This window comes from Homo sapiens, chromosome 12 (genome assembly GCF_000001405.40).
Source record: "Homo sapiens chromosome 12, GRCh38.p14 Primary Assembly".
NCBI lineage: Eukaryota > Metazoa > Chordata > Mammalia > Primates > Hominidae > Homo > Homo sapiens.
The window spans coordinates 109,280,691-109,302,054 of record NC_000012.12 but is presented as its reverse complement, the minus strand read 5'-3'; the positions used below and the strand labels follow the sequence as shown (position 1 = coordinate 109,302,054).

Here is a 21,364-nt window from a genome sequence, read left to right as displayed (position 1 = left end):
GAGTGGTCTGTGCTACGTGTAGATACTGACAGCACTAACCATTTCAGGAGAAGGGAAAACTGGGAGATGCTGAACTGGTCTGGGAGGGCTTCCTGGAGGAGGTGTATTTAAGCTGGGCAGGAAATGAATGGAGATTGAAGAATGCAAGATATGTTGGGGCTGGGCTGGGCTGAGGACTCTTCCTCCCTTTCTGACTCTAGCTTTCATACTTGAGAGTATGTAATAGATGCCCACAGGGCGTCAGGTCCTATGCCAGGTGCTAAACAAAATAGAGGGCCTCCTGGTCCTTGCCATCCTATGGCAGAAAGACTGGAAACATGTATAAGTAAATATCTCATTGCAAAATAAGTATTCTGTGGACACCCACAGGAAGAGATAGGGAGGGCCTGGGAGGGCCTCTTGCAGGAGAGATCATTTAGGCTGAGAAAGAGCCAGCTATAAATGAGTGCATGGAACAGCATTCCAGGCAGAGGGAACAGTGTGTACAGTGATCTTAAGATGAGTGAGAATTAGAATGTTTGAGGAACTGGGAGATGGACAGGTTGCTAGAGCAGAGAGGATGGAAGGAGAGAGGTGGGGAAGGAGATGGTCGAGTGCCAGGTCAAGGTGAGGAGCTTGACTCTCACTCCCTTGGTGGGTTTTAAGGACAATGACAGGTTCCAATGTCCCTTGTAAGAGGTCACTTTGGCTGCTGGGTGTTAAATCCATTCCACAAACAGTTCTCCAGTGCCTACCTGGAGCCAAACATGGCACCTATGGTTTGCCTACCCCGAACTGAGAGTCAGGCTCTGTTCTCACCTCTGTTCGGCACACGAGGATGCTGGGGTTCAAAGGGCATTGAGTTATCTTCCCAAGACTTCCCCATTAAGAGTGGAGCTGGACTGGAATGCAGGTCTCCCTGGTCCCTGTCCTCCTGTTCCCTGCCGGTTTCTTTCCTCCCTCCAGCAACACAACTGATTAAGGACATTGTCCATTAAAGTGGGTTGGGTTGATCTCCCAGTCAGCGTAGGATGGAAGCCATGGACTCCAGTGGTGTCTTGCCTTGCCCAGAGCTACCACAGGGTCCCCTGACAAGTGACTGTGACACCATGGGGATACCTGGCAGCTGGATTTTTTTATTTTCTATTTTTTATTTTTATTTTTTTAGAGACAGGGTCTTGCTCTGTCCCCCAGGCTGGAGTGCAGCAGCGTAATCAGAACTCACTGCAGCCTCAAACTTGTGGGCTCAAACAATCCTCCTGCCTCAGCCTCCTAAGTAGCTGGGACCACAGGCCTGCATCACCATGCCTGGCTAATTTAAAAAATGTTTGTAGAGGCAAGGTGTCAGTATGTTGTCCAGGCTGGTCTTGAACTCCTGGCCTCAAGTGATCCTCCTGCATCAGCCTCCCAAAGCGCTTCGATTACAAGCATGAGCCATCACGCCTGGGCACACCCTGATTTTTTAAATAAATGATATGATGAGGGTTTGCCCTTCCTGCATTTCAACCAAACTGGTAGAGCAGCTGAGTGAAGAGGCTCCAGGCTCTGAGTGCGTCCCTGGTTCAAATCCCAGCTCCTTTGCAGATATGCTATGTGGCTGAGACATGTCACTCATCTCTCTGGGCCTCAGCCATCCCATCTGTGAAATGAGGATGACAGGTAGCTGTCCCCACAGGCTCTCAGGAGACTGGAGAGTTTTGGACCTAGGGGGTTGGCAGGAAGGTAGCATCCCATGCAGGGGTCTCTCCTGTGCATTCTGGCGTCAATCAGAAAGTTATCTCCTTGGATGCGGACAGTTGCTTCTGCTTGCCAGAACAGTGCCTGGCAAGTGAGAGTTCAAGAAATGCTGTGGAATAAAGCAGACACTTCCCGAGTGCCGGACACCCTGCTGTTGGCTGTCTTCACGGGGTCTACTTCTCCATACTCTTCAGGAGATGTTTACTATAATGGGACCACCACCACTGGGGTGAGCGGCCTACCTGTGTGCCTTCCTTCAATCCTCACCATACCTCGTGAGATGGATGAGCATTAGCACTCCCATTTTATAGATGTGCAAACTGAGGCTCAGAGAGGCAGACAGCTGCAGACAATTCTCACAGCTGCTAAGTGGCCAGATCTAGGCCTGGCTGACCCCAAAGCCTACCTGGGTGACCACTCCACTGCAGTGCCACAGAGAGAGCAAAGGGGGACCCGGGGCTGGGCTGCCCCGCTGGGATGGGCTTAGGATGTGGCATTGCAGAACTCACAAGGGCACACAGGTAACACCCATGAAGTAATAAGCACATAGTAGGTACTTGGGAAATGGATTACACCAATGATAGAGTGTTATTCTGACACTGATGTTCCCAGGGTGCCACCTCAATCCTTGCCCGGATCTGTCTCAGACCTTGAATGCTCCATGTGTTCCGTCCCTTCAAAAGGGGACCCAACCCTTCAGCATCCCCCTACTTCCTGGCAGAGGGGGGACTGCCTAAAGGGGCTCTAGTGGCATCCCAGATGAGGAAATCGAGGCCTAAGGAGGGAGGTGCTGAAGCAGCTACCTGGGGCTGCTGAAGCTTGGGGATTTGGCGAGGTCACCTGGCTTGACCTCACCTTTCCTATCTGTTAAAGGGGATGATGAAGCCTCTAGGGTCTGTGGGCGTGTGCATGTGTGCGTTTACATGCACGTGTGTGTTGTGTGTGCATATGTGTGTTGTGTGTGTGCACGTGTGTGTGCACACATGTGTGCATCCGTGTGCGTAGTGTGCATGCGTGCGTGTGTGTGTCTGTGTGCATATGCGTTTTGATAAGGAAAAATATGCACCTGCAAAAGGCTGAGCTTTGAAAAGCAAGAAGCGTCCTTGGGGGCGGGGGAAGTTGCTGGTGAACTATTGAATTCAGGGAGACTCTGGAGCACCAGATAGGTCTTTTATGTTCTTTTTGCCCAAAAAGCTCTCTGCTCACCAATGAGGACTCCCTGTGGGTGACAGATCACCCACGTAGTTTGAGAAAGACACATTGTCAGGAGTCACCCTGGGGACCCCTGAACTAATAGTTCTGCCTGCCTTTTCAGCAGACCAGATGCCTCATCTGATCTGATGCTTAAATAAATTATTGATGAACTGTTGTCATTTTCTCTCAGGCAACTCCCTTAGGGTAGCTGCTATTATTATTCCCACTGTCTACACAGTGAAACTGAGGCCCAGGGCAGATAAGTCACCAGCCCCAGGTCACGCAGCCAGGAGGAGCTCACACCTGTGGCCCTGAGGGACCCTCTACTCTGTTGCTGCTGCTTTATAGTTGGGGAAATTGAGGTCTGGAGAAGGAAAGGTGCTTGCCCAAGATGATGGAACTTTGGAAATGCTCCCAGGGGGTTCACCTGCAGGTTTCTCCCACAAATGTCGGGGTCTTTGCATCAAAAGCAACCTTAGAAGGGCTGGGCGTGGTGGCTCACACCTGTAATCCCAACACTTTGGGAGGCCGAGGTGGGCGGATCACCTAAGGTCAGGAATTCGAGACCAGTCTGGCCAACGTGGTGAAACTCTCTCTCTACTAAAAATGCCAAAAATTAGCTGGGTGTAGTGGTGGGTGCCTGTAATTCCAACTACTCAGGCGGCTGAGACAGGAGAATTCCTTGAACCCGGGAGGCGGAGGTTGCAGTGAGCCGAGATCATGCCATTGCACTCCATTGGAGAAGAGCGAAACTCCATGTTAAAAACAAAAACAAAACAAAACAAAGCAAAAAAAAAAAACAAAAAAAAAAAACCTGAAACAAAAGGAACCGTACAGGTTGCTTGGGCTCATCTTTCATCCAGCAGGGGCCTGGCAGTTCATCCCCTCGGCTACTGCTTGGATAGGTCTGGGACGGGGGGCTCACAACTTTGTGAGATGCCCTAATGCACAGCTCCTGTTTTACAGAGCTCTTCCCTGCAACCTCCTTGCTGGTGGTGGGGATGGCGATGGGGGACTCCTTTTACAATGAAACATACTAAAACTCAAAATTCCATGAAATCATCTCCTTAAATTTCCAGATCTAAATCAAATTTCTAGTTGTTTTAAGGCAATGTAAGAACACCACAGATTTTTTCCATCAAGATGGAAAAGATTGTTTCAGATCACTGCCACCTAGAACTTTCTCCACTGATGGAGATATTTCATATCTGCACTGGCCATGTGTGACCATTCAGCACTTCAAACGTGGCTGATGGGCCAAGGAACCAAATCTGTACATTTGATTTTATTTCAATGAATTTAAATGTAAATAGCTGCTTGTGCCTGCCTATTGGGGAGACACTGCGAGGATTTTCTAGATATCATAGAGCAGCAGTCTCAGCCTTTTTGGCACCAGGGATTGGTTTTGTGAAAGAGAATTTTTCCATGGACCGGGTGAAGGAAGGGGGATGGTTTCGGGATGAAACTGTTTCACCTCATATCATCCGACATTAGATTCTCATAAGGAGGCTGGGCACCGTGGCTCACGCCTGTAATCCCAGCACTTTGGGAGGCCAAGGTGGGTGGATGACTTGAGGTCAGGAGTTCAAGGCCAGCCAGGCCAACATGGTGAAACCCCATCTCTACTAAAAATGCAAAGACTGAGCTGGGCATGGTGGCGCCTGTAATCCCAGTTACTTGGGAGTCTGAGACAGGAGAATCACTTGAACCCAGGAGGTGAAGGTTGCAGTGAGCCAAGATCATGCCACTGCACTCCAGCCTGGGCGACAAGAGCAAGCCCCTGTCTCAAGAAAACAAAACAAAACAAAAAGATTCTCATAAGGAGTGGACAACCTAAATCTCTTGCATGTGCAGTTCACAATAGGGTTTACGCTCCCGTGAGAATCTAATGCCGCTGCTGATCTGACAGGAGGTGGAGCTCAGGCACCTGCTACTCACCTCCTTCTGTGCAGCCCGGTTCGTAACAGGCCACGGACCAGTACTGGTCCTCAGCCTGGAGGTTGTTGACCTCTGTAATAGAGCACACTTCTTCAGCCAGGGAGAAAAGGACAGGGTTGTTGTGGCCAACCCAGTCTCTGGAGGTGGATCTCCTGGTTCCACAGCTCCCTGGCTGGGTGACCCTAGACAGGCCTGTTCCTCTCTGGCCTCAGTGTTCTCGTCTGGCAAATGGGAAGGTGGTGACGATAACAATCCCTGCCTGATCAGGCTCTTGCAAGGATGATGTGAGATCCAGTGAGAAAGTGGCTTTAGCTCAGGGCTGGGCGCACACCAGGGGCTTGTCCACCCCATGCCACATCCATGGGGGGACAGCTGACCCCAGGGGAGTGTGGGTGGAGCAACCAGAATGCTGGGTCTGTTTGCTCATCTGTGTTCATCTGTGGGTACTTGTAGAGCAGCCTTTGTGTGCCCGGCCCTGTGCTGGGCACTGGGAGTTTGGCTCCTCCCCTGGGGGCATGAGGGTCCTTGCTTCAGCATCAGGGTCTCTGGGGGCTGCCTGCACCCAGCAGGGGACTCAACCCCTGTCCTGTCCTGGTCTCCTCCCTGCCAGACCCTTAGGGACCCTGAAGACCTGAAGGTGTAGCCCCTACCCTCCCTGGGGCCACCAGTTGGGCTCAGAAGAAAATTGTGGCCAACTAGAGCGCTCCCTGGGGCTCAGAGAAATCGGGAATCCAATGGGGAGACACTGAAAGGTGCAGAGAGGGAGAAGGAAAGGCATCCTTTGTGAGGGAACAGAAGGCGCAGAGACACAGAGGAAGGCACACAGAGAAGGGGGGAAGGACATTTGGCCCCAGCCGGGACCTTTAGTGCAACGGAGGCTTGTCACATACCACACCTGAGTGAGAGCACGGGGGTCACCTGAACAGGTTGGAGGGCAGGATGGGGCCACAGCTCCCCAGCGCTGGGTGCGCAGGAACCACCTGAGGCTGGGGGATGCGTTAATTGCAGGTACCCGGCCTCTTCCCCAGAAAGCCTGGCTCAGTGCCTCTGGGCGACCCAGCAGCAGGGCTGGTACCATGCAGGGGACTGTAGGTGAGTAGGGTGGAGACAGGTCCATGGGAGATCGGGGACCCTGGACGCCATGTCAGAGAAAGGGGAAGAGGAGAGGATGGGCACTTATCAGAGCTCTTGTGGGTGCTCTGCCTTCATCATTGTTGCTCCCATTCTACAGATGAGGAAACTGAGGCTCAGGAAGGTTAGGAAGCACATCAGATGCCACCAAACCTGAAGGGCAGGGCTGGGACTTCCTCCCAGGGCCCCTCAGTTACAGTGACAGACACAGAAGAAGAGAGAAGGGGAGTCAGAGATGGAGGGAGAGTGGAGGAAGCGGGTGGAAGGAGTTGGGTCTTCTTTTTCTTTTTGAGACAGTATCTTGCTCTATCGCCCAGGCTGGAGTGCAGTGGCATGATCTTGGCTCACTGCAACCTCCGCCTCCTAGGTTCAAGCAATTCTCCTGCCTCAGCCTCCCGAGTAGCTGGGATTACAGGCGCACGCCGCCGTGCCCAGCTACTTTTTGTATTTTTAGTAGAGACAGGGTTTCGCCATGTTGGCCAGGCTGGTCTCAAACTCCTGACCTCAGGTGATCTGCCTGGCTTGGCCTCCCAAAGTGCTGGGATTACAGGCATGAGCCACCACACCCGGCCAGAGTTGGGTCTTTGCAGTTGATTCTTCTCAAAGCCTCCTCTGGAGGTGACCCTAGGCAGGCAGGCATCAGTGACATGGGAGACTCAGGGTTAGCAGGGCTGAATTTTCCTCTCGCCCAGGAACTGAAGTGACACACCCAGATGGGGAGCAGAACAGGCCTTGGGAGGAGAGCCCAGGGCAGTGGGGCTAGAATGTGCCTTTTTCTTTGAATTAAAAATGTCCTGTCATTTTCCAGTAGAGGAGAAACTTAGGAGGTTGATTTAGGGTCTCTCTCTGTGTGGCTCTCTCTGTTACACACACACCAGGGAATATTCCCAAACCCTCTAAGATGGCAGGGTGGATCACAAAGCCACTCCGCCTCCACACCAGTGTGCCAGCCTGGGGGGTATGAGGTATTGCGGCTATTACTATTATTATTATTATCACTCATGCCCATTTTACAGGTGGGAAACTGAGGCTGGCGATTAAGTGCCCTCCCCAGGGCCTATGGCTGAGAAGCCAGAATGGGTGGTTCCAGAACCAAGGAGTCTTTCCTGAGTTACAGCTGCTGTGAGCCCTGTAGTTTACAACATCTCAAATGAGGCACCAGGAGAGGCGAGGGCACATGGGGACACCTTTAATGAGGGAACTTCAGGCACTGATGAGGGAGAGGTGTGGAGGGGGCTTCACATGCCACTGTGGAGAGGGGCACGTGCTGACCTTTCTGCAGGGGACAGAGGTCAGTGTGGGCAGGGGGTTGGGGGATGAGACATTCTCATGTAGGCCCTAGTGCATCAGCCCCTGGACCTTGCCATGTATGCAGAAGACATGCCTGAATGCCAGAGAGACCCTAAGAGACAGCAGGAAGTTAGCCAGCCTTCGGAGCCAGTGGACTCCCACCACAGTGCTCCTGGTACCCACAGCCACTGCAGGTGTCCAGGGTGCTGGCTGGGGCCACCTGTCAGGTGCACTGAGGTGGACATTCTGGCATGGGCAGTGGGCACAAGAGAGGACCAGACCACCTTTGGGATGCCTGGAGTAGTGGGGAAGCAGGGGCCTGGCCATCGACCCCAAGCATGTACAGCAAACCCCCGAGAAGGGAGATGGGGACTGCACCTGTGCCAAAAGTCAGTCACACAGTGGCTCACCTGATCCTACGACAGCCAGGGATTGGAGCCCCAGGGACCTGCAGTGACTTGTCCAAGGTCACGCAGCTCAGGGGTTACAAGGACTTGAACCTAGATCTGTCCAGTCAAAGCCTGAGCTTTGGCCGTGTCCCCTGTGGGCTGTCCTTCCCCCAGAGCATAGCTGGAAGTCCCAAGGGTGGGGCTTCAGGGTCTGAGCTGGGGCCCCAACTCTGCATTTTAACTGGCTCTCTGGGAGATGCCGGTTCGCGTAGCCCCAAGTGAGAGCCTGGGACCCAGGGTGGGGCATCTCCCCCGGAAGACGTCTGATCTCCACCTGTAGTGCCACAGGAACCACCTGAGGGAGGCAGACAGACCCGGGTTCGAGTTCTGACTGCCTCGCTTATAAACAAAGGGATTTTGCTTTTACTGGGCTGGCCTCAGCTTCCCCCTCTGTGAAGTGGGGCTGCCTACTCTCTGTCCCTGTCCTGGGACTGTGGCAAGGACCTGAGGAGGTGGAAGACCGCTCTGTCAGTTCAAAAGAGCTAGATGTGACCGTCACTGTCACACCAACTCTCAGCGCTGGTGGCCTGCGGTCAGCCTATTTCAACCAGCCAAGCAGGCATTTAAAGGGCACCCACTTTGGGAGGCCAAGATGGGCGGATCACAAGGTCAGAAGTTCAGCACCAGCCTGACCAACATGGTGAAACCCCATATCTAATAAAAATACAAAAATTAGCCCAGCGTGGTGGCGCGTGCCTGTACTTCCAGCTACTCAGGAGGCTGAGGCAGGAGAATCGCTTGAACTCAGGAGGCGGAGGTTGCAGTGAGCCGAGATCGTGCCACTACATTCTAGCCTGGGTGACAGAGCGAGACTCTGTCTCAAAAAACAAACAAAGGCACCCACTGTGTGCAAGGACATGGGGCAATATGGGGTTTGGAGCCAACACTCAATGAGCCAGAAGGCAGAGTGATGGGGCAGAGAACTAGACAGTGCAGGACTGGCTGGTCCTGGCGAAGTGTAGAGAGCAGTCAGGGTGCAGAGTGGGTCCCTGTGCTTGGGGTCTGGGTGGCAAAGGCTTCCCAGCGGAGGTGCTGCTCTCGGGGTAGCAGGAACCTGCACAGGGAGTCAGGACCCCAACCCTGGTCCTTTTCCAGACTGTGAGATTGGGAGCAAACCAGTCTCTGCTTTCCAGAGGTAAAGTAAGAGGTGGGGTCCAGTGATGTCTGCAGGATGTCTGGGGTGAAGAGGCCAGAAGTCAGACTTTGCAGTGAGCCTCCAGGGGTGGGCATGGGTGCAGGGGAGGGAGCAGAAAGGGCATCATTCCTGCAAGGGGAACGGCAAATGCAAAGGCGTGGAGGTGAGCCCTGCCTGGGCCTGCGGGGGGCTGCAGAAGGAGTGGGGCTGCAGGAAGGGGGAGCCAGAGGGGCTCACGAGTAGCAGGAAAGAGAAGAATCAGGATAGTGCCATTGACTCAGCCCAACTAGATGCTCAGCCTTGTGCTCAGCCCTTTATACGTGACTTCGTGTAATCCTCACTCTATAGGGAAACAGGCTGACAGCATTGAAGTGACCACTCAGTCCTGAGTTTCTTCATCTGTAAAATGGGGCCAGTGTAAAACCCAGGCAGTGCTCATTACATGGGCGTGTTTAGTGGTAGCAGTGGCCGGGGCATGTCGGTGTGACCCCCAGACCCCAAAGCTTCAGTGTACTTCCAGCCCCCTGGCGACCTGGTGGATATTAATATGAGCATTAATGTTGGTATTAATATTAATAGCAGCTAAATATTCATATTACATTGACCGTGAGCCACTGTTCCAAGTGCTTTACATACAATTACATATTTCTTATGACATCCTATGCGATAACAGCTATTGTTATCCGCATTATACAGATAAGAAACTGAGGCTCAGAGAGGTTAAGCCAGTGGCCCAAGGGCACACAGGCAAGTGGAAACCAGGATTAGAATCCAGAGCCCAAGCATTTAACCACCACGAGTACTGCCTGTTAGGTTTACCTGCTGCCAGAGATCCTGCCCCACAGTGGCACTTAGGAACCTGGGTTATTTATAGCCCCTCCCCCCGACTACTCAGGGAGCTTTGGAGGGCAGCCACCTTACCAAACCTGCCAGCAGGGACCCATCTCCACTTCTCCTTGTTACCGCAGTGCCAAGCAGAGCAGCCAGGGCAGTGGGGAGTCACAGCAGGTTACTGAACAGGAGCATGGCTTGCACCACCAGGCGCCGGGAGGTTGTCTGGCCAGTGGGTGAGGAAGGGAGGGTGAGGACTGGCCAGCACCCCCAACAGCGGGTGGCATAGCAGGCCCTGCCCCTGCACCTCACCCCGTGGTCTCCCAGGGCCTGAGGGGACAGATGGTATCGCCCAGGCCCGGGGCCGTGGCTGTCACTTGGCCAGATGAGTTACGAGCAGGCCGGAGGGGTGGCAGCCGGAGGGGTGGCGGCCGGAGGGGTGGCAGCCGGGGGGCTGCAGAAACAATTGCACTGAGACCCTGGGACAATGGGGGCCACGTGCCACAGGGGCAACAGTCGTTTGTCACACAATGGGATGCCGGGGGACAGCAGCCGGACCAACTGCTGCCACTGACACGGCCGGCCGGCCGCGTTTTCAAATCGTTTCCAGGCCCTGTTTCCCTATGAGGCAGCCAATCGCGGGGGCAGCCAGGCAGTCACCTGATGCCAGCTTTGTGGGCCCAGGGCCCGGCCCTGCGACAACTGAGCAGTGTGGCCATGGCAACGCTAATTGTGGCCCTAAAACACAAGAGGGGAGAGATGGGGAGGAGCAGAGAGAGAGACAGGGAGGAGGAGGGAGAGGGAGAACGTGAGGCAGAGCTGGCCAAGCAGATGGAGGGAGGGAAGGGGCCGGGCTTTGCTGGAGCCTCCGAGAGGCGCAGAAAACCAGGGCAGGATGGGTCGGTGTCCCGCCTCTCTCTGCCCCTCAATCTATGAGGCTATTTTTGAAACATGGAACTTAGAATTTAGACTGTGGGCCTCTTGGTGGTGACACAGAAAGCCCCTGGCTACAGGGGTGGCAGATGTGGTGGAGTCGGGCGTGTGCTCCTGGGCTGGTCTGCACCATCACGACAGGGCCCGGATGGTGGTGTAAGACCCGATGCTCTCGGAGTCGCGTGGCAAGTGTGACTTGAGGGCACTGGGGAGTGACATGGCTATCCCAAATCACCGACCTGTCTGGCACCTCCATGGGCAGCTATCCTACATCCACTACAACCGATGTTTTGCCCATGAATCTGTTGCGGCTGGTGGGTGTGGGTCCTAACTGGAGCCTCTTGGGACCACCAGGGGTCGAGTTGAAGGGCTCAGGCTTCAGGAGGCACTGACTGGGTCTCAGCCCCACCACCTCCTGTTCTGTGTCGCCTTGGGCAGGTGACTCGGTGCTCCAAGCCTCAGTTTTCTCATCTGTACGAGGGGAGTATGGGCCCACCCTACATCTCACAGCAGCTGTGGGGATTGTGCAGGACAGCGCTTGTTGAATGCTGAGTCCAGGGCCTGGCAGGTAGCAGGCACTCAGCTGCCTCAGCACATGGCAGGATCATCCACGCAGACCGTTCCCAAGTTCCATGTTCCTCACAGCTACAGTACAGCAGGAAACTGCCCTGGACATGGAGTCAGGTGACTGATCTTGTCATGGCAGGTGGGACCCTGACCACAGGCCCTGAGTGCTCTGTGCTGTAGTGTCCCATAGTAGGTGAGCTCCAACTGTGCCTCGGTTTCCCCATCTGTAAAATAGGAATAATAACACCTGCCTCATAGGGTGACTGGGAGTGTAAAAAGGCTTGATCGGTGTCTGGCACTGGTCAAGTCCTCAACAAATATTCGCGTGCATTGTTTATGTGGTAGGTGCTAAGTAGGATGCGTTAAGTGGGCTAAGGAAGGAATGATGAGGATGAAAGATCTGGCTGCCGAAAGGGATCTGGGACCAGGTTCCCGTGTCCAGTCCTGGGGACGGGCAGGTTGGAGGGCTGGCGTGGCTTGGGGAGATGAGGCACATTAAGCGGGTGCTTCCAGAGGTCGGGACGCACCCCCAGGAGCTGGCCTAAGCTCCCCCTCCCGCCCGAGTTCTCTGTTCCTCTTTGCAGGCTTCTAGCCACCACCAGCGATGATGACCTTCCCGGGGACCTGCAGTCGCTGTCGTGGCTCACGGCGGTGGATGTGCCTCGGCTGCAGCAGATGGCAAGTGGCCGCGTGGACCTGGGTGGCCCCTGCGTGCCACATCCACACCCAGGTAGGCTCAGGGACAAGGTAGGCAGGGAGGAGGGTGATATAGGAGAGGGGTGATTCCCAGCCCTGCCACCCACCCACTGTGCAGCCATGACCCGGTCTCCCAGTCTCTCTGGGCCTCTCTTTCTGCATCTGTAAAATGGGACAAATGCTCCCTTCCTTAGAGAGATGTGGTTTATCATTTGCTTAACTGTGCGCCAGGCCCTGGGCGAGCTAAGGTTTCTGTGAATAGAGTCCCGCTGCCACACTGGTGCATCTTGAACCTCTAGGGCAGTTGGCAAACTACAGCCCGTGGGCCAAATGCAGCCTACGACCTGTTTTTGTACAGCCTTTGTGTTAGGAATGGATTTTACATTTTCCAAGGGTTGTAAAAACACAGAGACCATCTGGCTGGCAAAGCCTGAAATATTTGCCATCTGGCCCTTCACAAAAGAAGTTTGCTGCCCCCTGATCAAGAGGATTCCAAGAGATAATGTGTGGAAAGTGCTGAGTGTAGGGGCTGGCACACAGTCGATGCTCAATAAAAGGCAGCTAGTGGCAGTTAGGTGCAATCATAGCAAATGGATAAAATGCTTAGAGACACAGAAAGTATTGAAGAAAAGCAAAACAGTGACAAAACAATAAACAACAGTATATTAAAAGTACCAGTGGTTGAAAAATACTTGTCTAGGATTATTTATTTCATTGGGCAAATCGTTCTTGGGCAAAGCATGTACAGCAGGGGTCAGCAAATTTTCTGTCAAGGGCCAGGTAGTAAATATTTTAGATTTTGTAGGTCAACTGATCTGTCAAAACAATTCAACTTTGCCATCGTAACACAAAACCAGCCACAGCCAATATGTAAATGAATCAATGCAACTCTGTGCCAATAAAACTTTATTTACAAAAACAGAGTTTGGCTGCCAGTTTGCCAACCCCTGATCTAGAACGCCCAGGGAACAGCTGTGTGATCTCAGCCAAGTGCTTTCTGCCCTGACTGGTTTCCACATCTGCAGCAAAAGTGTAACAGAACTGCCTGCATGGGACATTGTGAGGATTCAATGCAGAAAGTGCCTTGAATGCGGAGGTGTTTAACAAATGGTGAAATAAGGACGCCTCTCCTCTTCTTTCCCCACTGTGGCTGCTGGGTACTTTCTGTGGGCCTGTTACTGTGCCAGGCATTTGGAGCAATGAATGATATAAGTTGTGGTCCCAGTTCTTAGAAAGCTGATGATCTGGTCAGAGAGAGAAGGACAAGACAAACAGATCTAGGGACAGTGGCAGCCAGAACTCAGAAGAGAGCTGAAGGACCCAGAGGGCTTCCTGGAAGAGGTGGCCCTAGGGCAAGACCATCCTGCAGGTCAACTTTGCTTGATTGGAGGTGGCTGCCTAAAATCAGGCTAGAGCAGTAAGAATCTGTGATAGATTAGCAATGTCTGTCACAAGCCCAGCACAAGATGGGGGAAGTATGTCTGCCATTCTCATCCTGTGTGGAGCAGCAGGGCTTGGCAAAGGGGAGAGGAGGCACAAAGGTACTTTGGACCTAAACCTAGAGGCACTCGGGAGCCATGGCATGTTTTTGAGGAAAAGAAATGAACCGTGAATTGGTGTTTTAGCTTCATGAAGGACATAATCAATTATCATTTATTATTGACTCATGTTTATTGAGATATTATCATGTGCCCAGCAGTGTGCTAAGCACTTGATAGACATTATCTCATTTAACCCTCACAGCAGATTTATAGTTAGGGGTATCAGTAGATCAAGTACAAATGGGAAAACTGAGGCTGACCTAAGGTTATACAGCTGGTAAGAACCTACTTTTCACTACACACCAGGGAAGTGATTTGCCAAGCACCTACTATGTGCCTGGTCCGAGGAAAGGGGCTGGCTCCGTTCTCCGGAGACACCTGGGCACTGGGCTGTTCCTGGTGGCAGCCACCATTCCTCCAGCCCAGCAGCGTCTCTGTGCTTCTCTCCGGCAGGTGCCTTGGCTGGGGTGGCCGACCTGCATGTGGGAGCCACTCCAAGTCCCCTTCTCCATGGCCCAGCAGGCATGGCCCCCCGAGGCATGCCAGGTCTGGGCCCCATAACTGGCCACAGAGACAGCGTAAGTGGCACTGCATGGACTGCGGAGGGCGGGTAGTGCCCTCCAGACTGGGTGTCTACCCCCACCGTGACCCTCTGTCTCCTCCTCTTCCTGCCCAGCAGATGAGCCAGTTCCCCGTGGGGGGCCAGCCCTCATCTGGCCTGCAGGACCCGCCGCATCTGTACTCACCTGCCACCCAACCACAGTTCCCGCTCCCCCCGGGTGCCCAGCAGGTACCAAGGGCTCAGGGGAGCCCTGGACTGAGCAGCAGACACCCTGCCTTGGGCTGGCCGGGGACCCCTCTGAGCCTCAGTTTACTCACCCAGCACATGGGGATAACATTCCCTCCATGCTCATGTCATGGGGTCATTCATTCCGTTCCCCCAAAACTCCTGCCCTGAGTGGAGACAAGATTGTTTCCTGGACGGTTGTGAATCCCCACACAAGGTGTTTTGAAACTGGGGTGGGGACAGTGTTACTGTGAGTGACGTATGTTATTTCTCACCTTCTCTCTTTCTCTGCCACTTTCTCCCTGCCCCTGCCTGTGGGAAGTGCCCTCCTGTGGGCCTCTATGGCCCCCCATTTGGGGTGCGGCCCCCCTACCCCCAGCCCCACGTGGCTGTGCATTCATCTCAAGAACTGCACCCCAAACACTACCCCAAGCCCATCTACTCGTACAGGTGAGGTCCAGGGTGGGCCGGGTCAGGGCCAAGGGCGGCTCCGGGAGAGAGGGATGAGGCTGCCCTCAGGGCATCTCAGACAGCTAGTGTGGCAGCCCAGACTTCCAAGGGGGAGGTTTTGGGGAGTGGGGAACCCCCAGGTGGGACTTGTTCTCAGGAAGGCGCATCATAGGGTCCCCCAGGTCAAGAGCCCACTGCAGACCTGAGTCCAGTGCCACAGTTCACTTCATTCATAAGCCACGTGGCCTTGGGGAAGTGGGATGACCTCTCTGAGCCTCGATTTCCCCAAATGTAAAAAGTCATCAAAATAATAGTATTGTATACCTCGTGGGAGTTTGGGGAGGGGGAAACAACCTAGGTAAAGTCTGAAGGCTCATAGCCATTAAAATTATGGGGATGCAATAAAGAGGGGAAAGGGTAAGATTTCTCAAGTCAGTACCAATTGTTGTGCCCAGATCAAGGAGAAAGGGCAAAGGGTGGGAAAGACATCGGGCCATGAAAAGATATTGAGAGCTCACTGTGTGTGAGTGTTTAGGGTCAAGCAGGGCAGGCTTCCTGGCAGAGGCGGCATTGGGCTGTCAGCCTGAGACCCTTTCATGCCTGGCCTGCCCTGTCCTGCCCTGCCCTGCCCTGCCCCACCTCCTGCCCCCAGCTGTCTGATCGCCATGGCCCTGAAGAACAGCAAGACAGGCAGCCTGCCTGTGAGCGAGATCTACAGCTTCATGAAGGAGCACTTCCCCTACTTCAAGGTGAGTCCCAAGCTAGGGTAGGGGTGCTGGAGCTGCCCTGGTCTCTTCCTGGTGCTGCCAGAATCCAGGGCTGGCCCTGGGCCAACCCTCTTTGGTTCCCAGTTATGTCTGTACATCTGGTGGTTAGGACATGTGCACACACACTCACACAGAAGAAAGTCAGAAAGAGAGGGGGGCATTTGAACTGGGCTCTGACAGATGAAGAGGAGTTCATTAGGCATCCCAAGGAGAAAAGGGTAGAGGCACCAGACTAGGTACTCAGCACAGATTCAGTACAACATAATGATGCAAAACAACAGAATTGGCAAAAGCCTTCACCTCTGAGCCTCAGTATCCTCATCTGTCAGGGGTGGAGAATCATCCCAAGCTGGCAGGGTCAGTGAGGATCCTGCAGATAAAGGGCCTGGCAGCTTCCAGCATAGGGTTGGCCACTAGTAGTGTTATCCTTGTTAGCATCAAAGCAAAAAGTGGAGCAGGAAGTTAGAGGGTACACCAAGCTGTGGGGTCCCTGGATTGGACAGTGTCCTTAGCAAAAATACTGCAGTACAGTGTGTGTGCACACATGTACACATGTGGTGTGAGATGCATTGTGATATCTGGTTATCTAGCATTTAAAAATAATTTGCTGGTGGTGCACGACTGTAGTCCCAGCTACTTGGGGGGCTGAGGTGGGAAGACTGTTTGATCCCAGGAGGTTGAGGTTGCAGTGAGCCGTGATCATACCACTGTACTCCAGCCTGGGTGATGGAACAAGACCCTGTCACAAAAAAAAAAAAAAAAGTAAATTTGCATTGAATACACTCGATCAGTTATCCATTTATTGGCATCATTCTTCCTTGCTTGCTTCCTGAATGGGAGAGAGAATATGGAAGATCCAGCAGGCCAGGCTGCATCCTCCTATAGTAACAGTTGGCCAGAGCTGAACTGTAGTTCCCCTCTCATCAGGGCATGGCCACACCAGTTGGCCTCAGTCCCCAGCACTCTCTCTTGTCTCTCCAACTTGAGGCTGAGTGTCAGGCACTGTCAAATTACTCCTGCCACCGCGGTGTCCTGCCCCTATAGGCCTGAGTAGGAGATCCCCGGGGTAGGGGGAAGGGCTTACAGGGAGGCCTCTGAATGCCCATGTGTCTTCATAGACGGCCCCCGACGGGTGGAAGAACTCGGTGCGGCACAACCTGTCTCTGAACAAGTGCTTCGAGAAGGTGGAGAACAAGATGAGCGGCTCCTCCCGCAAGGGCTGCCTGTGGGCTCTGAACCTGGCCCGCATCGACAAGATGGAGGAGGAGATGCACAAGTGGAAGAGGAAGGACCTGGCTGCCATCCACCGGAGTATGGCCAACCCTGGTGAGGGCCGGACAGCCCGCAGTGCGCGCACACACACACACACACACACACACACACACGGAAGAGGAAGGACCTGGCCGACATCCACCAGAGCATGGCCAACCCTGGTGAAGCCGATGCATACGCACGCGCACACACACAAATATGCGCACACACACAAATACACGCACACGCACACAGAAGAGGAAGGACCTGGCTGCCATCCACCGGAGCATGGGCAACCCCAGTGAGGCCCAGATGCACACATGCGCGCACACACACAAATGCACTCACACACCTGTGCACACAAATGCACGCACACACGCAGAAGAGGAAGGACCTGGCTGCCATCCACTGGAGCATGGCCAATCCCGGTGAGGCCCAGACAGCTTGCAGCACGCACACACACACAAATGCACACACAGACCAATACACACATGCGTGCACACACACACGCAGAAGAGGAAGGACCTGGCTGGCATCCACTGGAGCATGGCCAACCCCAGTGAGGCCCAGATAGCCCACAGCATGTGCGCACACACACAAATGCACACAAATGCACAAACACACACACACAGAAGAGGAAGGACCTGGCCGCCATCCACCGGAGCGTAGCCAACCCCGGTGAGGCCTGGATGCACACACACACATGTGCGCACACACACGTGGAAGAGGAAGGACCTAGCCACCATCTACTAGAGCATGGCCAACTCTGGTGAGGCCCGGACAGCCCACAGCGCGCACACACACACGCACGCACACACACGTGCGCACACACAAGTGGAAGAGGAAGGACCTGGCCACCATCCACCAGAGCATGGCCAAGAGGCCCGGGCAGCCCCTAGTGTGTGCGCACACGCACACATGCACGCACACATATGCATGCACACACACACCACGCGCCCCTCCTCCCAGCCCAGCCCCAGCTCTGCCTATGCCCTACCCAGTCTCCAACACTTCTCAGCCAGGATGATGGGAAGACAGGCGTCTGGCAAACCTCCCTCCCTCCTATGAAATAGGCCTCCCCCTCCCCAACCCTATCCAGTGGCAGGAGTAGTAGAGGGGCCTGATCAAAAACAGGAAAAGCTGTTGGATCTCACTTGTCATCCATAGTTTCTTGCCCAGAAATGCCAAACTACACAACCATGGGTTACACATTGCTTTCCTACCACATTGTCAGAGATGTTTAAAATAGTAACACTCAGTGTGGGCTAGGATGTGGAACAATAGAGAGCTTCGTATATAATGGATAGGAATTTAAGCTGTTAAACTTTTTGAGGGAAAGCTAATATATCAAACACCTGCAAATGGTACCCATGGATTGGTCCAATTATTCTACTTCTGATGATGTGTACTGTGAAGAGCAAAGATTTGAGCAGAAGGTTTGTGAACAAAGTTATCCATCACAAAATTATTTCTAAGAGTGAAACACAGAAAGCAGTCCAGACATCTCACAATAGGGGTTGGTTAAATAAATAGAATGGCATACCATGCAAGTATTAGAAATGAGAAATATTTTAAAATATTTTTGGAACATAAATAAATGTTAGGCCGGGTGCGGTGGCTCATGCCCATAATCCCAGCACTTTGGGAGGCCAAGGCGGGTGGATCACCTGAGGTCAGGAGTTCAAGACCAGCCTGGCCAACATGGTGAAACCCCATCTCTACTAAAAATACAAAAATTAGCCAGGCATGGTGGCAGGTGCCTGTAATCCCAGCTACTTAGGAGGCTGAGGCAGGAGAATCACTTGAACCCAGGAGGCGGAGGTTGCAGTGACCCGAGATCAAGCCACTGTACTCCAGCCTGGGTGACAGAGCAAGACTCCATCTCAAAAAAAAAAAAAAAAAAGTTCTCAAACAATAAGTGAAAAGGGGCAGGTTATAATCAATATCCACAGCAAGATCATATTTTAAAATACATATATATCCATATTCACTTCCCTCCCAAAAATGTATGTATCTGAGAGAGAGCGAGTGAGAGAATGAGAATAAATATGCTTGTGTGTTTGGGAAGAAATACACCAAAATCTTTACTGTGAATGGAGAGACCATTGATAACTTTTATATTTTTCACATATTTCTGTATTTTCCAAAACTTCTATCCTGTTCCTAATTAGAAAAAGGATTGCATCTGCTTTTAAAAAAAAAATTAATGGATTTGAGGAGGGGCCATCCAAGGGACATATGCATGGGGACTGTGACGTGGAGGCTAATTGTGCCCCAGCCTTCGGAGTATGGCCAGAGTCTGTTGGGTATCACCATGCGGTGTAGGAATGGGGCTAGCAGTGTGGCTTGGGGATGAACAACTCAAGGCAGGGAGAAGGGCTATAGCAGGAGCCAATGGTCCCTCAGTTGAGGGGGTATGACATCGCGCCCACCCCACCGAGAGCTCTGGGGTCTGGCTTGAGACCCAGGGCCAGTACTGACACATATTCGGAGTGAAGTCTTGGGCAAGTTATTTTGCCTTCTACATTCTAAGTGCTCTCATTTCTCAAATGGGTACAACCCAAATAGATCTGGGGACCCTACCAGTCTACTATCAACCCTGTGTTGCACTCAACAAGACATAGCCATTAATCAAAAATAATATGAGAGTAATTTGTCTTTACTTGTTTATATCCAAGAGTGTTAAGGATTTTTAACCCACAGCAACACTTCTTAATGTCTCTTTAGTAGCAGGGAGTGGCTAGGGCCCCTTGCATGTTAATACATTTTGTCCCAGTCTTATGGGATTTGTAATCGCGGCCTTACCTCCTTCTTGCAGGGCTGTTATGAGATTTAAGTGAAGCCCTAGGGTTACAGGGCTGTCCTGTAAGGCACTGTCCCGATGAAAGATGAAAGGGGCTAGTGTTATTATCTGATGACATTTTTTTTTTAAAGGCAGGGTCTTGCTCTATCACCCAGGCTGGAGTACAGTAGTGCAATCATGTCTTACTGCAGCCTCAACCTCCTGGGCTCAAGTGATCCCCCCACCTCAGCCTCCCAAGTAGCTGGTACTACAGGCACACACCACCAAGCCCAGCTCATATTTTTTATTTTTTGTAGAGATGGTAGCTCACTATGTTGTTCAGGCTAATCTTGAACTCTTGGCCTCAAGCTGTCCTCCTGCTTCAGCCTCCCAAAGCACTGGGATTGCATGAGCCCAGCCTTTGATGTCGTCTCTTATTCCTCAAAGATTCTGCACAGTCTGTGATTTTGTTACATTTCCACAACAACCGTGTGCAGAGGGTATGATGTTTTGCTAGATGGGCAGAGATGTTTAAAATAATAAAATATTGACACCCAGCATGGGCTAGGACGCAGAGAAGTATTTAATAGACACCTTCATTTACAATGGGTGGCAATGTAAGTTGTGAGATGAGATGATGCCTGTGTCATTTCATAGGTGAGGAGACAGAGGTTCTGAGTGTCCAAGAGGCTTGCTAAGGTCACACAGGTGGTGACACTGGAATTTGAACCCAGGCCTGGGCTGGGGCCCGGTAACTGCTGGGTGGGTTCTGAGTGACCTCTCCCACTTGCCTGCAGAGGAGTTGGACAAGCTGATCTCCGACCGGCCTGAAAGCTGCCGGCGCCCCGGCAAACCGGGGGAACCAGAGGCCCCCGTGCTGACTCACGCCACCACAGTGGCCGTGGCGCATGGCTGCCTGGCTGTCTCCCAGCTCCCACCCCAGCCACTGATGACCCTGTCCCTGCAGTCAGTCCCCCTGCACCACCAGGTCCAGCCCCAGGCACATCTTGCTCCAGACTCTCCAGCACCAGCCCAGACCCCGCCACTGCACGCCCTGCCGGACCTCAGCCCCAGCCCGCTCCCCCACCCCGCCATGGGAAGGGCTCCTGTAGACTTCATCAACATCAGCACCGACATGAACACTGAGGTGGATGCCCTCGACCCGAGCATCATGGACTTCGCTCTGCAGGGTGAGGCTGGAGGAATGGAGTGATGGGAATGGAATGGGGAGGGGAGAGGCCCGGGGGCCAAAGGGAGTGAGGGAGAGGACTGTACTGCCTGCATTTGCCCCACAGTCTTGTTCCCATAGCAACAACCTTTACAAGTTGAACATCCCTAATCCGGAAATCCAAAATGCTCCAAAATCCAAAAATTTTTGAGCTCCGACAAGACACTCAAATGTCATGCTCGTTGGAGCAGTTCAGATTTCAGATGTTTGGTTGGATTAGGGATGTTCAACCTGTTATAGCCAATGGCAGCCAACAGGGAATGAGCATTTGCTGTATACCGGGCCAAAGCATTCCATAGGCATCACCTGAGGTCACCACCATTCCACATCCCTGTTCTGCCAATGAGGAAACTGAGGCAGAGAGAAGTGAAGTCACTCACCCAAGGTCACCTGGCTAGTAAGTGGCAGAGTCCGGAGTTAAACCTCGGTCTGACCCCAAAGTTTTCATCAGTAACTGCTTCAACTCACATGTGCCAGCCCCATGCCAGGTCACACTCTGACCTGCTGCCTTGCCGCATGATCATCTCCAATAAATGGGACGTGATGAATGAACGAACAAGGGAATTTCAGGTTTCAGTGAAGGCTCAGACTTCATCCATTCACTAGCACAGGTGCAGCTCTTATGTTCCAGCCAAGGGTGGAGACAGCCTCTGCCCTGAGTTCTGTCTCTAGCGAGGG

At 52.9% G+C, this 21,364-nt stretch overlaps 1 protein-coding gene across 5 annotated transcripts in view, besides 5 other annotated features; it reads left to right on the top strand.

The window, feature by feature from the left end:
- Nucleotides 1-21,364, top strand: part of FOXN4 (forkhead box N4) — a 31,307-nt gene that overhangs the window by 7,230 nt on the left and 2,713 nt on the right. The window contains exons 3-10 of one of the 5 annotated variants that reach the window (XM_011537923.3): nt 11,769-11,914; nt 13,875-13,999; nt 14,098-14,211; nt 14,531-14,658; nt 15,311-15,407; nt 16,544-16,751; nt 20,116-20,166; nt 20,256-20,296. In XM_011537923.3, the coding sequence (XP_011536225.1) occupies nt 11,769-11,914; nt 13,875-13,999; nt 14,098-14,211; nt 14,531-14,658; nt 15,311-15,407; nt 16,544-16,751; nt 20,116-20,156 (859 nt within the window). In that variant the 3' untranslated portion in view covers nt 20,157-20,166; nt 20,256-20,296. Of the gene's footprint in view, nt 1-11,768; nt 11,915-12,107; nt 13,422-13,874; nt 14,000-14,097; nt 14,212-14,530; nt 14,659-15,310; nt 15,408-16,543; nt 16,752-20,115; nt 20,167-20,255; nt 20,649-21,364 lie in introns of those variants that run through there. The other 4 variants (NM_213596.3, XM_011537922.3, XM_047428311.1 and 1 more) reach the window with 4 other exon arrangements.
- Nucleotides 77-371: a silencer, noted in NCBI's record as "tiled region #9197; HepG2 Repressive non-DNase unmatched - State 23:Low, and K562 Repressive non-DNase unmatched - State 22:ReprW". NCBI's record gives its function as "represses a minimal TATA promoter and a strong SV40 promoter by Sharpr-MPRA in HepG2 and K562 cells {active_cell/tissue: HepG2 | K562}" and the evidence as "EXISTENCE:reporter gene assay evidence [ECO:0000049][PMID:27701403]".
- Nucleotides 10,625-10,825: a silencer, noted in NCBI's record as "peak1938 fragment used in MPRA reporter construct". NCBI's record gives its function as "represses an SCP1 promoter by STARR-seq MPRAs in K562 erythroleukemia cells {active_cell/tissue: K562}" and the evidence as "EXISTENCE:reporter gene assay evidence [ECO:0000049][PMID:32103011]".
- Nucleotides 13,457-14,066: an enhancer, noted in NCBI's record as "H3K4me1 hESC enhancer chr12:109725794-109726403 (GRCh37/hg19 assembly coordinates)". NCBI's record gives its function as "activates a minimal SCP1, AML or CMV promoter by ChIP-STARR-seq in primed H9 embryonic stem cells {active_cell/tissue: H9 hESC(primed)}" and the evidence as "EXISTENCE:reporter gene assay evidence [ECO:0000049][PMID:30033119]".
- Nucleotides 14,231-14,390: a silencer, noted in NCBI's record as "fragment chr12:109725470-109725629 (GRCh37/hg19 assembly coordinates)". NCBI's record gives its function as "represses an EF-1alpha promoter that drives an FKBP-Casp9 reporter gene in an ReSE screen in HepG2 liver carcinoma cells and K562 erythroleukemia cells {active_cell/tissue: HepG2 | K562}" and the evidence as "EXISTENCE:reporter gene assay evidence [ECO:0000049][PMID:32094911]".
- Nucleotides 16,232-17,075: an enhancer, noted in NCBI's record as "H3K4me1 hESC enhancer chr12:109722785-109723628 (GRCh37/hg19 assembly coordinates)". NCBI's record gives its function as "activates a minimal SCP1, AML or CMV promoter by ChIP-STARR-seq in naive H9 embryonic stem cells {active_cell/tissue: H9 hESC(naive)}" and the evidence as "EXISTENCE:reporter gene assay evidence [ECO:0000049][PMID:30033119]".